This window comes from Homo sapiens, chromosome 5 (genome assembly GCF_000001405.40).
Source record: "Homo sapiens chromosome 5, GRCh38.p14 Primary Assembly".
Taxonomy (NCBI): Eukaryota; Metazoa; Chordata; class Mammalia; order Primates; family Hominidae; genus Homo; species Homo sapiens.
This window is the reverse complement of record NC_000005.10, coordinates 148,533,220-148,551,388: the sequence shown is the minus strand read 5'-3', so window position 1 is coordinate 148,551,388 and position 18,169 is coordinate 148,533,220. Positions and strand designations below refer to the sequence as shown.

The following is an 18,169-nucleotide window of genomic DNA, read 5'->3' as shown; positions in this document are numbered from 1 at the left end:
AAAAGAAATGATCAGGGTGGTGAAAGGAGCCACTGAGCTTATTTATTGGCTACTATCTCTCCAACAGACTTCACAGAATCTGAATTCAATTTGTCCAGGTGAACTGATGTAAGAACAACCATCACACCACAATCTTTTCTCTCTGGGAGAACCTACCTGTAAGCAGAAGCTTCTGCATGGGCTGGAATGGGACACTGTAACAAGATGGCTTTGCATTCAGGCCAAGTAACTGTATGAATGCAAAGTAACTTGCTCAGTAACAACCAGTTCAAGTTGCTACTGAGCAAGCAGTGGGCTCCTTGCTGATGTTTATAGAAGCCAATACTATGGCCCTGGCTTTTGAGGAAAAAAAAAAAGGCTTCATTGTAAGTTGATCGGCAAGGAAGCAGGAGGCAAAGCTCAAATCTGTCCCCCTGAGCTGGGGGCTGTGGCAGGTTTTATAGGTAGAGGGTAATAAGGTGTGATCTGATTGGATCTTGTGATAAGTTAATGCCAAGAGGTATGATCTGACTGGATTATGCCACAAGGTGATGCTAGGGCTCTATATGATTGGATCGTGGATCATGCCATGAGACGTCCACTTCTTTATTTGGTCCCCATGCCTTGGTCCAAGCACTTAGGTTCCACCCTGTGGTTGCATGCTTGGTTCATCTGGGCCTGGTCAGTTTAACTTGCAACCTGGGGGTCCATGGCAACTAAAACACAACTCACCATTTTATACACAAAGTTGGACCAAATTGGGCTGCTCCTGCAGTTGCAAAGTTACTATCATTCATTCACTCAGCTTTTGCAATCTAGTTGAGTAGGTGCACAAAACAGGCATCAACTACATATGTCTGAATGCTAGTTGAACTAAATGCCCTGAAGGAAAGCCACAAGTGCTTGGATGGAAAATAACCTGTTAATTCAGCTCTCTAAGCCTCATACTCCTCTTATGTAGGAGCTAACCAGGATAAAATGTCAAGCGACCGGTTCAGATTTTGGTGTACATTAAACGCATGATAAATATATGTGTCATCAGCTGATGGTGAAGTTACCTTTCTGAAGGTCAATGATGAAAAGACGAATTTTCCTTCTTGTGTCCCAGAGTTTCATTCAATTCTTTGTGCTTGTGTGTGTCTTTCAGTTCTGAGGAGGGTTTCGGGTCAGTGGAGAAGGTGGTGCTGCTCACGTTTCTCTCGACGGTTATCCTGATGGCCATCTTGGGGAACCTGCTGGTGATGGTGGCTGTGTGCTGGGACAGGCAGCTCAGGTGAGCAGCAGGAGGGAACCTTTTGAGGAAACATGGGAGTTCTGAGCTGTCCCTAGAGAGTTGGGTGTGAACATTTCTATTAGAATTTGTAATTAAGAAAGAAAACATTCATGGGAACAACATTTTAAAAATAAAAGGGGAGAAAAAGGGATTGCAATTAATCCTACAACTCTAATACAACCAGTGTAAACATTTCAGTGTATTTCCATCCTGTCATTTTTTTCTTTGTCAAATGTGTTTATAGTTGTGATCACTATATATACAATTGTTGAGAGCACATATAATCTAACCTCCCCATTTTATTAATGGTTTAGGGAAGATGTGGCTGACAAGGGACAGATCTAGAAATTAAACCTGTGTTTTTTGCACTTCTACTTCATCAGTCTCAACCCTGGCTGCAATTAGAACCACCTGAAGCACTTTGAAAAACTATCATCGTGTGGTATTAGTATGTCTCATGTAGTATTTTGGACATAGTTATATTTAAAAAGTGATTTATTGCTAAAGTTCAAATCTAATCAGGCATCCTGTATTGTATCTGGTAATCTTTGAGGGGAGAGGCGTTAACTCCCCAGGGTGCCTGAACTAACTGATCTGGGGTGAGACCTCAGCATCAATACTTATTAAAATGCATCAGGTGATTCTAGTGTACAGCCTGGGATGAGAGCCTCTGGGCCATAAGAGGGTATAACGAAGCAGTTCCTCTCTAAGTAAGACATCCACACATCTAATGATGATGCAAATAAAGTGCAAAAGCGCAATTCTGACCAGTGTTATAAATGTGAGTACACAGTAGCCAGTCTGCTAGTGTAAAATGGTGGACTGTGACTACAGTCACAGGGCATACCTTGGGAGAGTTTCCTGAGAATGCCCGACCAAGGACTGACGGGTGGGTGGGATTAACCAGGCAACCGTTGGAAGAAAGAACATCTGCATTGGCCCTCAAAAGGGACCTATATGTGCAGGGAAACTCAGATTAGGGCAGGGTGGCCAGAAGGGGGAGGAAAAAAGAGGTTTTGGTATAAGGTAGGTCTGGAGAAGTCAGGAGAGGCTGGACCACGCTGGGTCTTCTCAGCCATGTTACAGAAGGGGAAATTGAATCTCACGGAATACACTAAGCATGTGACTTTTTCTTTCCTCTTTCCCCCTCCCTTCTTTTCTTCTTTCTTTGTTTCCCTTTTCCCTGTTTTTTCTCTTGATCTCTTCTCCCTCCCCTTTTTCCCTTCATCCCTCCCCCTGCCTCCTCTCTTACACTTTTTCACTCACAGGAAAATAAAAACAAATTATTTCATTGTATCTCTTGCTTTTGCGGATCTGCTGGTTTCGGTGCTGGTGATGCCCTTTGGTGCCATTGAGCTGGTTCAAGACATCTGGATTTATGGGGAGGTGTTTTGTCTTGTTCGGACATCTCTGGACGTCCTGCTCACAACGGCATCGATTTTTCACCTGTGCTGCATTTCTCTGGATAGGTAAGGACAGAACAATGTGCATAGCGGAGCTCCATGCTGGAGACATGACTTGATGGATATTGGGCAGTGTCTGCCTTTTCTTATTCATTAGAAGAAATGAATCTCAGAGAGGTAAATTTGATAATTCAGTTATACAGTCATTCTCCAGCCTTTGCAGAGGCCCCCTTTTTAGTCAGGCCCTCTCTGAGGCACTGTAGATGCACAGATTAGTAAGACCTATAACTTGTCTGCAAGGAGATTGCAATCTAAATAGCAATAGATGTCAGCAATCAAGTTTACTATAGAGCTGTAAATTTTATACTGATGGCATGAACAAAATTCTGAAGAAGCTAAGCATCAAGAATGAGTACATCTTCCCAGAGGGCAGCAGGGGTGGTTCAGAATGAAAATGCCCTATGTTTGAACATAACCTTTTCTTGAAAATATGTTTCTGTAATAATTTGATATACATATTTATGTATGTGCATATAATTGTGGAGACTCTTTTCCAGAAAGTTACAGTAAACTTCCCAATAATTTTATGATTTTTGGACCCAGATCTAGCATTTCATTCTTGTGGCATAATTTTATTTTCTTTCTTCATATTTGACTTCAGGGGACCTAATGATTTTCATCTTTGCCTCATTTGTTGCAGATTTATGTATTTATCACTTGTACCATCACTATTCATTTTCCAATTCCTGCTAATTTACATTTCATCATAAAGGTAGAATGCAATCTAAAGTCAGATGACTACACAAACATGCTGTTATCAATGTAGTAGTATCTTAGGGGTTAGCTCTCAGAAAAATGTGGGGTGCAAATCACATGTAATCAGAATTGCCAGGGACAATGATTTCTTACTGTGTCTTGAGCAACCCAACAAACCCAAGTTTTCCTCCAGTCTTGGGATAGATCACTTTTTTAAAATTTAGTTTTATTTATTCTTATTTATTTTTTATAGGGACAAGTCTCACTATGTTACCCAGGCTGGTCTCGAGCTACTGTGCTCAAGTTATCCTCAGCCTTCAGCCTCCCAGAGTGCTGGGACTACAGATGTGAGCCATCGTGCTCAGACAATCACTGTTTTTTATTTTTATTTTCATTTATTTTTATTTATTTATTTTATTTTATTTTATTTTATTTTATTTTATTTTATTTTTATTTTTTGAGACCAAGTCTTGCTCTGTCACCCAGGCTGAAGTGCAGTGCCGCAATCTCGGCTCACTGCAAGCTCCACCTCCCGGGTTCTCGCCATTCTCCTGCCTCAGCCTCCTGAGTAGCTGGGACTACAAGCGCCCGCCACCAGGCCCAGCTAATTTTTTGTATTTTTAGTAGAGACGGGGTTTCACCGACAATCACTGTTTTTTTTAAATTGAGGACTAGGAAAAGTAGTTGACTGAAACTAGAGATTGTGGTATATCTAACATACACACTTTTAAACACTAACATCATAGTCTTCCCAGAGAATTAATCACACTGGGGGAGGTACTTAGAGACTGAAACCAGCTGAGGGGACAGCAGGTTCATCTCCTATTTCATGGGACATATGTGCATTGATTGGAATGGTAGTCATAATGGCCTGCTGTATTTAAATTGCTTTCTCTTTTCCTCTGCCAAGAACATATAGTTGAATATGCTTAAGTTAAATGCATGTATAATGAGACTCCACTCTATAGCTAGAGATAATGACTCTGGTAAAATTGAACTCATGGCAAGCAACCAGACCCATGGCATGGCATAGTTGGAAATTTGTGTTTATTAGCTTGTTTACAACAATCTGACTTTAGTACATGAAAGACTTTTAAAGACAGTCAGGATACACTGAATGAAAGTTTGTATTATAGGAAATACAATGTAAGGAAGTAGAAAATCTATGGAAATCCTGCTGGGTAACCTGCATATGATCATTGTTAAAATGAGTAGTGAGACTGAAAGTACTACAGGAATTTGGAGAAGACCAGGCAGGGGTGATAGGGGCAGCTGAGGTAACCTCAAGGCCTGTGTAAAAGCAGGAGTAAGAAAAAGAGCCAGTCAGCCAGGAAAAAAAATGGGAGAAAGTGTAGAATCAACTGTCCATTGTGGAGAGTTTGCTGTGGGCAGCCCTGAGAGAAGGTCTAGAGGTTTCCTTGACAGGTTTGGCTTCAGATTTATGCCTACGTACTTTTCAAATCAGGAAACTTTTCCTGAGTAGGTATGAGTTGTCATGAAACAGGATGAATTGGTCATTAAGAACCATCTGCTTTAGAATTGAAGAGATTTGGGTTCAAATCCCAGCTTTTAAAATGTTTAGTTCTGGGAATGGGAATAAGTGATTAAGCCTTTCTGAGTCTAAGCCTTTCTTGTCTCTAAAACTTAGGGAGATAGCACCTATTTTATATGACTACAGTTAGGTATAAATTGGATAATCCATTTAAGGCATCACTTTGGCCCAGCTTGTCACAATATTCCATGTTAGTGGATGTTGTTGTTCATGTCAGTTTCTTGTAACTAGCCATACAACTCATGATCTTTCTCATCAAACTTGCACCTCCTCAGTGAATAGCTGCTCCAACAGCTTGCATCATCTAGAAACCAGGTAGTTATTCTGATAGCAGTCTTTCCTTGCCTCCTACATTTAAATAATGACAAGTCCTGCTCATTTTCTTTCCTAAAGAGATCCTAGTCTATTTCTCTCTATCATTCATCCAAAGTAATATCATTTCTTGAAGAAATCACTCAACACTTTCCTAATTATTCCCTCCAAATATGTTTTATTCCCTCCCCATCCACTTGTCGCTCACAAGATCAAAAGCCATCCTTTTAAAATGCTGCTCTAATACTGTTGCTCCTTTGCTTAAAACCCTTCAGTGGCTATTCATTGCATTGAAGATCAAGACCAGACTCATACAAGGTTTTTCACCCTCTGTTTCCTGTCCATGTCCCCAGCTTCCCTTCACCCCCTTCCTAACCTCACCTCCAGGCCCGAGTTGCTTTGGCCTTCTTTCTAGTTCTCCAGGGCTCTCTGCTCAGCCACCTGAGGCCTTGGCTTTTCCCTCTGCCTGAAAACTTCCTCTGCCCCTCCTCTCCTGCATGTCTTTCAGATTTTAGCTAAATCTTCTCTTCTTTGCAGAAGTCTTCGCTGACTCCATCAAAACCATTTTTCTCCTTTGTAGAACTCAGTGTAATTATAGTTAAAATCAAGTCTATACTTTCTTCTTAAATGTCTTTCTATTCCAATGGGAGGAAGCCCAAGGCTACGAACAAGGGCAAGATCCCTGCCCTCATAGAACTTGCATTGTTATGGGGAGGTTGACAATTAAACAGTCATTGCATAAATACTTATTTAGGTATTTGACAAACACGATTGAACAAATGGAGTGGTCAGCACGTTCTCTTTGTGAGAGTCATGCCAATAATTCCATTTCATTCTCTGACAGTGTATGTCAAAAACTCCAATACCATAAGTAAGATATCAGATGGGGTTTCTTTTGTTTTATTTTCCTTGGGGAGCTTGGGGATCTTGCCTCCAGCTTGTCTCCAGCTTTCCCTGTCCCAAGAGCGTTCCCTCATAGTGCTGGAGGGTCCATCCTGAACATTACAGGGCAATGTTTTAGCCTGGAAGAGGATGGTTTTATTTATCATCTAGCTCTGTTTTTGCTGTGTCCTTCCCGTCCTAACAGTTTGGTTCAGCTGGGCTGGGCCAAAGCACAGAGTGAATGTCTCAATGAGGTGTGATGTCCTTGTTAGCCATGTTATTCCCGGCAGTATGCCATGTCCTTCTCTCTAGAGCTGCTACAAGTCTTCTGGGATCAATCATAAGGGGTAGTTCCTTTGAGCAAGAGGGCTCACTTTAATTTGTAACTCTTCTCAGATGGCAGACTCCTGGATCAAAGCAAAATGTAGGACTCCTTTAGTACTACAAAATGCATTTTCCCAACTCCCATTCTCAGCTCACTGTGCTTCCTGGTGCTTTCAGAATTGAATTCTGTTAATAAGAATTTATTGCCTCCTTAAAAATAATTTCCAAAGCATAATTAAAATAAATGCACCATATAGTATGGGTCATAGGAGATCAAAAACTGCTTTAAAAGCTTTAGAGTACAGTTGATTTTTTTAAGATCTAAAGTACTGTGGTGAATAAAAGCTAACCAAGTAGTCATGATAGAGTACTAGTTTTAAAAGTGAAATATAAGGCAGCCATTGAAAACCATGAGAAATAATGACGTGTGTTGTCCTAGAAATATATCACTGGTGTATTATGTTGGGGGAAAAAAAGCAACTGGCAGACTCTAATGTTTAGCATAGTTCCATTTTTGTAAAATAAATATAGAGATGCATGTATCTGGGTTTACATGAGTGTGTGTGGAGAGAGAGAGAAAGAGAGGTGGAGAGAGAGAGAAAGAGAGGTGGAGAGAGAGAGAAAGAGAGAAAGAGAGAGAGAGAGAAAGAAAGAGAGAGAGATTGAGAATGAAAAAGAAAGATCATGAATGAATTTTCACCAAATCGTTAACAGGTGGTTATTTGAGGGGTAGGGCATACGGTGTAGTGCTGGCCAGAGTGGATGGTCAGTTAAATTGGGGTTGGGGGCCTTCAGTTTTACTAATTTCTGTAATACACATTTTAAACTTCAATTTTCCCTTTGCTAGAACGTAACCTTCTCAAATGCAAGTCCATCCACAATAGCCTTTTAACTGAAAATGTTGCTAGAATGGCACATTCCTCAGTTCTCTGAGAACATTCTGCTTCAGTGCTGGGAGTTCCCTCTGAGGTCAGAACAAGCCAGGGAGCATGGAAATCTTCCTGACCAGTGTGTTCTCTCTGCTTTCTCATCAAACACCCTCACATCTCCCTCTAAGGGAGCCCTCACCATCTCTTACGGGGTGCATCACTCCTACATTGGTCTTGGTTAACCTCCTCCCTGTTCACAAGCTTGTATTTGATTTTTTTCTAACAGTCCCTTTTCTAATCCTCACAGATTTTTTAAGTCACAATATTAATAATACCTGAGCATTGTAGAAAATGCCATCAGTTCACAAGTAGAACATAATGTCCCCAATTCTTTCAATATCCACTTCCACAGCTGCATAACCTGAGGTAACCACTGTAAATAGCAACTGCCTGTAAATGCCAGTGATTTCATATGTAATAAGCAGACTTATTTGAATATATTTTGAGTTTATGATATATGCCAGTGAGTTGCCTGAATGTAATGTTTTTACCAACTTGCTTATTGGATGATCTATTAGCAAGGTTTCTTTCAGCAGCATGCGGCAGATAATAAATTGATCGTTCAAATAACTGAAAAGTCTGGCTTCAGACATGGCTCTCTACAAGGATTTGAACAATGTCATTTAGTCTAACTTTGCCCCTCTCTAACTCTGTTTCCCTCTCCTCTTTGTCTCCATCTTGCCTTCTTGTTCTCCCTGTTTACTTCCCTCTCTGTTTCCCTATGTCTATTCCTCTCTTTCTATCTGTCCCTCTTTGTCCCTATGCTGTCCATCAGCTCTGGTTTCTTGTTAGATTTTTTTCTTAGGCTGGGTTCTTCCACCAGGAAAGAAAAATAGTCACAGTCAACAAATCTTAAACCATCCTTAACACATGAGTCCATAGGAAGAGAAACCTAAGTGCTGTTTCTCATGGAAGAATTTCCGTTGGCTTTGCTTGTGTCAAACACTCTTCACTTAACCAGTCACTGTGGTGTGGAGATGACACATCCTGGTTACTGGGCAGAGGTCAGGCACCATGACTCCCAGCTTTACCAAAAACATATGGTGTGAAGAAATAGCAGTTCTCACTGGAAAGATGGGTGTTAGGCAGACAAGAAGAGGAGATACCAGTTCCCCTTAGGCTGGCCAGACCCTACAGGTATCTTTATGGAGCCTCCACAACAAAACAGAGGTATATCATCCCCAAGTCTTCCCTATATTAGGCCAAATATTTCTAGATCCTTCTGCTGGCCTCATAAGCCATACTTTTCAGACTTTTAACCATTTTTATCCCCTTTCTCTGAACATGCTGTACTTTGTCCTTTACTTAGCATTAAATGTAATTCCCTTTTTAAAAAAAAAGTCAATTTCACTTCCTTGAAGATAGTATTCTCTATAGTACTGCAAGATTCTTTTTTGGATACACCCAGCTGAATTGTCACCCTTCCTCTGCACAGCTCAAAAATTTGATGTGTTTTATCGGCAAAATTCTCCAACAGTTTCTTAGTCTCCGATCCTCTTTTAAACAGGTTTACTTGTAAAACATACAATTCTTACTTCAAGGTTGCATGTTTAATCTTGTGCTGGAGATAAATGTATCTGCATTTTCTTAATGATCTCCCTGGAGTATAATTCGATTTTGTAATGTATAAATGAAAAGTGTCTGTCATTGTGAACTGTGTCACACAATTACATTTGTTTTCCCAATAGGATTGAAATGCATTTCACAAGGAAAGTATATTAAAAGTTTCTCCTTCTCACATACTCTTTTAGGGCAGGTTCAGGCTTTGTACATAATATTTGTTGAGTTGAATTTCATGCCAGAGGGTTTGAACTGTTATTTTTATATTCATTTCATCAAACATTTATGGAGTGCTTACTAATTACTATGAGTTGTTCTGGACATTGTAAATACAGTGGTGAATGATCAGAAAAACTCTGAATCATGGAACTTTTTGTCTAGTTGGGAATACAGACAGTAAACAGATAATTACAGTAAAATTGGTGACCATTGAATACTATAAGGAGAAGGAAAAAAAAAAAGCTATTGGAGTCTGCTAAGTTGCAATCTCCAAAGCAGGGTAGGCTCCTGAGCAAGTGATGCTGATGCCGGGATCTGCAGGGGCTGTGGGTATCAGTAGGGGATAGGGAAGTTGGTGAGGCCTGGGGAGTGGCTGCTCCTGAAAACGCATGTGAAAACCCATAGGAAAGCCCTTGTTAACTAAAAGCTAAATTCTTAGCTCAGCTTTCACTGCTTTTCCAATGTGTTCTCAGTCTGATTTTCCTACCTCAACTCCTACCCATGAGTGATCTGTTATCATTCCCTGAATATATGTTTCCTCATAACTGCATGTTGCTACCTGTGCCTTGGGTTTCTTTTATTTTTCTGGCAAACATCCACCTTTCTTCAATACTCAGATAACATGTGTCGCCTTCTCCAATGACTGTTGGGCTTCATTCATAAAAATTTGTCATTTCTTCCTCTGAGCTCCCATGGAGTATTGAATCAAAGCATCGTGGTTAATAGAAGTTTCTTATTATGTGCGTCTCAATAATTGTTTGATTTGTCTGCCTTGCTCCAGAATATAAAATTCTTGAGAGTAGGCCTTATCTTATCTATTCGTGTGTTTTTCTTTCTGGAACATAATAGCTGTTCCATGCATGTTTGGCTGAGCACTGAATGCTGAGATGTGACTTGTGGTTGTTTGTATGACGCTGGGGTTGGTTTCTCTGTCCTCAGAACTCTTAATATAGAAAGTGGTTAAGAATGAGACCTGAGGTGCTAGGCTGCTTAGATTCAGTCACAGCTTGACTGGTTGTCAAGTGTGTGATCTTGGAGAAGTGACAAAGGTTTTCTGGACTTTGTCTTATCTGTAAAAATTGTGTTATTAATAGAAAATCCCTTCCCTTCTCTTTTAGGACTTGTGAGGAATAAATAACTGAGTGTTTATTGTTCAGTTAATAAACTGAATAATGCATAGACCAGTGCATGGTACTTGGTAAGTGTTCAATTAATGTTAGCCACAAGGACTATTCCATTATTGTTTTCCTCTCTAAATGCAAATTCCTAGTGGCTGTAGCGAGGGCCTTCCCAGACACTGATAGTCATCTTGTTCTTTCTGACTCATAGCTGAGTGCCCTTGAAGGTTAGATCCTTAGCCTTCCAGCCCTGAGTATGTCCCCTCTTTCCTTTGGAAACCTCATTTATCCCATGGCTTCACTTGCACCTCTGCTCTTGTCTCTCCCTCACCCCTTTCACACACTGGGCTCTGGGGTTCTATCTCTGTCTGCTCAGCATCTTGCCTTAAACATCTTTCTGTTTTCTCAAACCTCAGTGTGCTCAAGTAGACATTTTTATTGTAAACTAATACTATATCCTCTTCCACATTGTATATTGAAGGTGAATCTATTAGTTATCTTTCAGACATCGAAACACAACTTTTTGAAGTCATCTTTTACTTATCTCCCATGATCAGCTGGATGCCAAATCACACCTATTTTTTATAAATATCTTTTCTAAAATTTTTATTTTATAAAAATTATATATAAGATTATATATATATATATATATATATATATATATATATATATATATATATACACACACATAAAATAAAACCTAAAATTTTATTTTAGGTTTGGGTGTATATTTGAAGATTTGTTATATAGTTGAACTGTGTCACAGGGGTTCGTTGTATACATTATTTCATCACCCAAGTATTAATAAGCCCAGTACCTAATATGATTTTCTACTCCTCTCCCTCCTCCCAGCCTCCACTCTTAAGTAGACGCAATGTCTTTTGTTCCCTTTTTTGTGTTCATGAGTTCTCGTCATTTAGCTCCCATTTATAAACGAGAACATGCAGTATTTGGTTTTCTCCTTCTGCATTAGTTTCCTGAGGATAATGGCCTATAGCTCCATCCATGTTCCTGCAAAAGACATGATTTTGTTATTTTTCATGGCTGCATAGTATTCCATAGTGTATATGTACCACATTTTTGTTATCTAATCGGTCATTCATGGGCATTTAGGTTGATTCTATGTCTTCACCATTGTGAAGGGTGCTGCAAAAAACATTTGGGTGCATGTGTCTTTATGGTAGAACGATTTATACTCCTCTGAGTATATACCGAGTAATGGGATTGCTGGGTTGAATGATAGTTCTGCTTTTAGCTCTTTGAGGAATCGCCATAGTGTTTCCACAATGGTTGAACTAATTTACATTCCCTCCAACAGTGTATAAATGTTCCCTTTTTTCCTCAACTTCGCCAGCATGTGTCATTTTTTGACTTTTCAATAATAGCCATTGTGACTGGTATGAGATGGTATCCCATTGTGGTTTTGATTTGCATTTCTTTAACGATCAGTGATATTGAGCTCTTTTTTATATGCTTGTTGGCTGCATATATGTCCTCTTTTGAAAAGTGTCTGTTCATGTCCTTTGACCATTTTTTAATGGGGTTGTTTGACTTTTTTATTGTAAATTTGTTTAAGTTCCTTATAAATGCTGGATATTAGACCTTTGTCAGATGCATAGTTTGAAGATACTTTCTCCTATTCTGTAGGGTCTGTTTGCTCTGTTGATAGTTTCTTTTGCTGTGTAGAGGTTCTTAAGTTTAGATCCCACTTGTTAATTTTTGCTTTTGTTGTGATTGCTTTTGGTGTCTTCGTAATGAAATCTTTGCCTGTTCCTATGTCCAGGATGGTATTACCTAGTTTCTCTTCCAGAGTTTTTATAGTTTTGGGTTTTACATTTAAGTCTTTAATCCATCTTCAGTTGGCTTTTGTATATGGTGTAAGAAAGGGGTCCAGCTTCAATCATCTGCATATGGCTAGCCAGTTACCCAGCACCATTTATTGAATAGGGAATCTTTTCCCAATTGCCTGTTTTTGTCAGCTTTGTCAAAGATTAGATAGCTGTAGGTGTGTGGTCTTATCTCTGACCCTCTATTCTGCTCCACTGGTCTATGTTTCTGTTTTCATACCAGTACCATGCTGTTTTGGTTACTGTAGCCCTGTAGTATAGGTTGAAGTCAGGTGAGGTGACGCCTCCAGCTTTGTTCTTTTTGCTTAGGATTGACTTCGTTATTTGGGCTTTTTTTTGGTTCCATATTAATTTTAAAATAGTTTTTCTTCTACTTCTGCAAAGAATGTTTTTGGTAGTTTGATAGAAATAGCATTGAATCTGCAAATTACTTTGGACAGTACATCCATTTTAACAATATTCATTCTTCCCAGCTATGAACATGCAATGTTTTTCCATTTCTTTGTGTCATCTCTGATTTCTTTGATCAGTGTTTTGTAATTCTCATTGTAGAGCTCTTTCGCCTCCCTGGTTAGGTGGATTCCTGGCATTTTATTCTTTTTGCGGCAGTTGTGAATGGGATTGCCTTCCTGATTTGGCTCTTAGCTTGGCTGTCGTAGGTATATAGGAATGCTAGTGATTTTTGTACATTGATTTTGTATCCTGAAACTTTGCTGAAGTTGTTTATCAGCTGAAGGAGCTTTTGGGGCAATACTATGGGGTTTTCTAGATATAGAATCATGTTATCTTCAAAAAAAAGCATAGTTGAACTTCCTTTCTTCCTATTTGGGTGCTCCTTATTTCTTTCTCTTGCCTGATTGCTCTGGCTAGGACTTCCAATACTATTAGAAGAGGGAGGGCATTCTTGTCTTGTGCCATTTGTAAAGGGGAATGCTTCCAGCTTTTGCCATTTCATTATGATGTTGGCTGCGAGTTTGTCATAGATGGCTCTTATTATTTTGAGATATGTTCCCTCAATACCTAGTTTTTTTTGAGAATTTTTAACATAAAGAGCTATTGAATTTTATTGAAAGCCTTTTTCTGCTTCTATTGAGATTATCATGTGGTTTTTGTCTTTAGTTCTGTTTATGTGATGAATCACATTTGTTGGTTTGTGTATGTTGAACCAACCTTGAATCCTGAGGCTGAAGCTTACTTGATTGTGGTGGATTAGCTATATGATGTGCTGCTGGATTCAGTTTGCAAGTAATTTGTTAGGGATTTTTGCATTGATATTCATGTAAGGATACTGGCCTGACTTCTTGTTGTTGTTTCTCTGCCAGGTGTTGGTATCAAGACGATGCTGGTCTCATACGATGGGTTGGGGAGGAGTCTCTCCTCCTCAATTTTTTGGAATAGTTTCAGTAGGAATGGTACCAGGTATTCTTTGTACATCTGGTGGAATTAGGCTGTGAATCCATCAGGTGTGGGCTTTTCTTGGTTGGTAGGCTGTCTATTACTGATTTAATTTCAGAGCTAATCATTGGTCTGTTCAGGGAATCAGTTTCTTCCTGGTTCAGTGTTGGGAGGGTGTATGTGTCCGGGAATTTATCCATCTCTTCTAGGTTTTCTAGTTAGTGTGCATAGAGGTCTTTATAGTAGTTTCTGATTAGTTTTGTTTCTGTGGGATCAGTGGTAGCATCCTCTTTGTCATTTCTAATTGTGTTTATTCAGATCTCTCTCTTTTCTTCTTTATTACTTTAGCTAGTATCCTATCTATCTTCTTCATGTTTTCAAAAACCTAACTTCTGGGTTCATTGATCTTTTGAATGTTTTTTTGTGTCTTGATTTCCTTCAATTCAGTTCTGATTTTGGTTATTTCTTGTCCTCTGCTATTTTTGGGGTTGATTTTTTTCTTGCTTCTCTAATTCTTTCAGTTGTGATGTCAGGTTGTTCATTTGAGATCTTTATAACTTTTTGATGTGAGCATTTAGTGCTATGAATTTCCTCTCAATACTGCCTTTGCTGTGTTCCATAGATCCTGGTATGTTATATCTTTCTTCTCATTAGTTTCAAAGAACTTCTTGATTTCTGCCTTAATCTTATTACTTACCCACACATCATTCAGGAGCATATTTTTTAATTTCCATGTAATTGCATGACTTTGAGTAATTTTCTTAGCCTTGACTTCTGTTTTTATTGCATCGTGGTCTGAAAGTGTGTTTGATATGATTTTAGTTCTTTTGCATTTGTTGAGGATTGTTTTATGTCCAATTACGTGATTGATTTAAGAGTATGTGCCATGTGGTGATGAGAAGAATGTATATTCTGTTGTTTTGGGGTGGAGAGTTCTGTAGAAGTCTATCAGGTCCATTTGGTCAATGTTGAGTTCAGGTCCTGAGTATCTTTGTTAATTTTCTGCCTCAGTGATCTGTCTAGTGCTGTCAATGAAGTGCTGAAGCCTTCCACTATTATTGTGTGGGCATTGTTGTCTCTTTGTAGGTCTCTAAGAACTTGCTTTATGAATCTGGGTGCTTCTGTGTTGAGTGCATATATATTTAGGATAGCTAGGTCTTGTTGAATTGAACTCTTTGCAATTATGTAATGCCCTTCTTTGTGCTTTTTGATCTTTGTTAGTTTGAAGTCTATTTTGCCTGAAATTAGGATTGCAATCCCTGTTTTTTTCTGTTTTCCATTTGCTTGGTAGACTTTCCTCCATTCCTTTATTTTAAGTCTATGGGTATCATTACGTGTGAGATGAGTGTCTTTAAGACAGCATACCATTGGGTCACACTTTTTTTTTTTAATCCAGCTTGCCACTCTGTGACTTTTAAGTGAGGCATTTAATCCATTTACATTCATGGTTAATGTTGATATGTGTGGATTTGATTCTGTCATTGTGTTGTTAGCTGGTTATTATGCTGGCTTGTTTGTGTAGTTGCTTTATATATCATTGGTCTGTGTATTTAAGTGTGTTTTTGTATAATCTGGTAGCAGTCTTTCCTTTCTATATTTAGTGCTCCTTTCAAGATCTCTTGTAAAGCAGGTCTGGTGGTAACAAACTCCCTCAATATTTGCTTATCTGAAAAGAATCTTATTTCTCCTTCACTTAGGAAGCTTAGTTTGGCTGGATATGAAATTCTTGGTTGAAGATATTTCTTTAAGAATGTTGATTATAGGACTACGATTCTTTCTGGTCTGTAGGGTTTCAGGTGAGAAGTCTGCTTTCAGACTAATGGTGTTCCCTTTGTAGGTGACCTCCTCTCTCTCTCTCTAGCTGTGTTTAACATTCTTTCTTTCATTTTTATCTTAAAATATCTGATGATTATGTGTCTTGGGGATGGTCTTCTTGTGTAGAATCTTGCAGGAGTTCTCTATATTTCCTGAATTTGACTGTTGGCCTCTAGCAAGGTTGGGGGAGTTTCCATAAATCATTTTCTGAAATATGTTTTCCAAGTTGTTTGCTTTCTCCCCATCCCTTTCAGGGATGCCAGTGATTTGTAGATTTGGCCTCTTTTCATAATCCTATACTTCTCAGAGGTTTTCCTTATTCCTTTTAATTATTTTGTCTTTATTTTTGTCTAACTGTCTTATTTTAGAGAGACAATCTTCAAGTTCTGAGAAAGTTTCCTCAGCTTGATTTATTCTGCTGTTAAATTTCTGAATGCATTGAGAAATTCTTGTGTTGTGTTAGTCAGCTCTGTCAGATCCATTATGTTCTTTTTTTATACTGGCTATTTCATCCTTCAGCTTCTGTATCATTTTATTGTGTGTCTTGGTTTCCTTGGATTGGGTTTTGCCATTTTGCTGAATCTTGATACTCTTCATTCCTATTCATATTCTGAATTATATTTCTGTCATTTCAGCCAGCTCAGCCTGGTTAAGAACTCTCGTTGGAGAACTGGTGCAGTCATTTGGAAACATAACAATGCTCTGGTCATTTGAATTACCAGAGTTTTTGCATTGGTTGTTTCTCATCTCTGTATGTGGGTATTCCTTTAACTGCAGTGTAGATTGAATACAGTCAATAGACTCCTTTCCTGCCTGCTTTCACAGGGCCAAGGCATTGTGTACAGTCTTTATTTGAAGCTGACTTCTTGTCTTTGGTTTCAGAGGTGGGTATATAAATGAGGTATTTTTGATGCTTAAGCTTCGAGGTGTGGTCCTGTGGGTGGCACTTAGACATATGGTCAATTGGTAGACTCTTGCTCAGTTGTGTGGCTCCCCTGTTTCCTCACAGTTGCAGCTGTGTTCCCTCTAAATGCTCTGAAGGTGTGGGTTCCTCTCCCACTTGCATGCTGGCTGCAGATCATGGCTTGGAACTCCTGGGCTGCTGACTGTAGCTCTGGGGCAATCTCAGTATTCATATTCCTTCCTCCACTTGGAGGCAGCAGAGGAAGGGACCTTAGTAGTGGTTGTGGACAAGGGTCTTTTGCTTATCTCTTGGAGGCTCCACCCCAGAGAGATTGAGGTCAGGAATTGCTCAGTGCAGTCAGCCCAGACTGAAGGGTATGTGCTGGGGCCCAAGTTAGGGGTTACCTGTCTGGTGCAAGCAGAAGGAGTAGGTGGGACCCATGAGAGATGGTCTGGCCTCCTCTCCTTGGGTCAAGTGCAGCTTGTTGGAGGTGTAGAGAAGGCACTTAGGGTCTTTACTCCTTCATTAGTCCAAGGGTAGCAAGGGCAGTTCCACTGCAGAAGCAGTGGCAGAGAGGCTTTCAGTTGCCCCTGGAGTCTCTGTCCCGGGAGGTCCTGAGTTGCTACTGGCTCAATACCTCTGGCAGGGGATGGCTGGAGGCCCAGGCCTGGAGGACCTGCCTGGTGAGGAGATATGGGAACAGGTACCCACTTAAGTCTGGCTACTTTAACATATGGCTACTGCAGTATGCTGGGGGCCTGCTCCAGTTGCTAGTCACCTTGGATCTCCCACTACATGGAGGTATCAAGAGTGAAAAGTGCAAAACAGCAAAGATGGCAGCCTGCCCCTCACTCTGGGAGCTTCATCCCAGGAAGGTACATACCTGTTACCAGCCCAAATGCACCTATTAAGAGGTGGCCAGGGAACCCAGTTGGAAGGTTTTGCCAAGCTATACATGACCTGTTTACCCTGTTGTTATCTATTGGCATGTAACATCTACATCAAAACTCAGCAGCTTAAGCGACAATGTATGATTACTAGATCTTACATGTAACCACCTCCATTGCACATAACAAATATGGTCTTAATGCTTTCATTTGCCTTTAGAGACCAATTCATTCACCTTTATATTTCTTAGAATCAACTGTTAGGGAAAGATGTTGAACCAAGTGGCTTTTTATTATTTGTTAAATAATGTAGAGCTCATAATTCCAAAATATATTTGAGTCTGTTTATAATAATATGTATTAAACAGATATTTATGTGCCAAGAACTTCCTATGTTTTAAACATATTATTTCATCAATTCTCACAGTGAAGGAGAGGCATAATTGGAGGTTGACATAATTATTCTAACTTTAAAGATGAAGAAACTGGATCTTCTTGAGGTTAGTAACTGATTCTAAGACCACAGAGCTACTAAGGAGTTAAGGCAGGGAAAGTTGGTACCCAATGGTGAAGACGTAAAGTTGACTGCTACTATCTCCTCCAATTCTGACAGTCTAGAATTCCAACTTATTATCATTGCTTCTTGTGCCTTTTCTGTGGTTGGGAGGGCAGGAAGTGAGGAAGTAGAATTTTCCTTAATTGCAGAAGGAGCACGGAAGGGATTAGCATGGAGCTTAAAATACATGGCTGCCTACTAAGAGTTGTCAAAGTAAATTGTGTCCCCAGAGACATTTAAAAGCAATTTGATCACACATTTGCACATGGCTGCAGTGGGAGAAGCTGGTGGCTGGGTCTACAAAAGCAGATTTTAATGGAGTTTTATGAGCAATACTTTTGAAATGTTTTGCATAAGAAATTACTTTGTAAATATCCTTGCTTCATTTTAGTTAATCCTGGCCATCTGGAACCTCACTCATCATTTGAACATTCATTTAACTACTTTGTAAAAGTTTT

The 18,169-nt window shown here is 39.5% G+C and overlaps 1 protein-coding gene and 1 long non-coding RNA gene across 8 annotated transcripts in view; one reads left to right on the top strand and one right to left on the bottom strand.

Moving 5' to 3' along the window:
- The window catches only part of HTR4 (5-hydroxytryptamine receptor 4), a 203,496-nt gene that overhangs the window by 103,139 nt on the left and 82,188 nt on the right, over positions 1-18,169 (top strand). For all 7 annotated transcript variants that reach the window (NR_104445.2, NM_001040169.2, NM_199453.3 and 4 more), the window contains 2 exons: positions 1,127-1,252; positions 2,521-2,721. Coding sequence is in view for 6 of the 7 variants with exons in the window: in NM_001040169.2 (NP_001035259.1) it covers positions 1,127-1,252; positions 2,521-2,721 (327 nt within the window). In the remaining variant the exon portion in view is untranslated. The remainder of the gene's footprint in view (positions 1-1,126; positions 1,253-2,520; positions 2,722-18,169) is intronic.
- The window catches only part of LOC107986462 (uncharacterized), a 107,158-nt gene that overhangs the window by 8,599 nt on the left and 80,390 nt on the right, over positions 1-18,169 (bottom strand). The window contains exon 3 of the long non-coding RNA XR_001742935.2: positions 1,038-1,304. This is a non-coding gene — a long non-coding RNA (uncharacterized LOC107986462). The remainder of the gene's footprint in view (positions 1-1,037; positions 1,305-18,169) is intronic.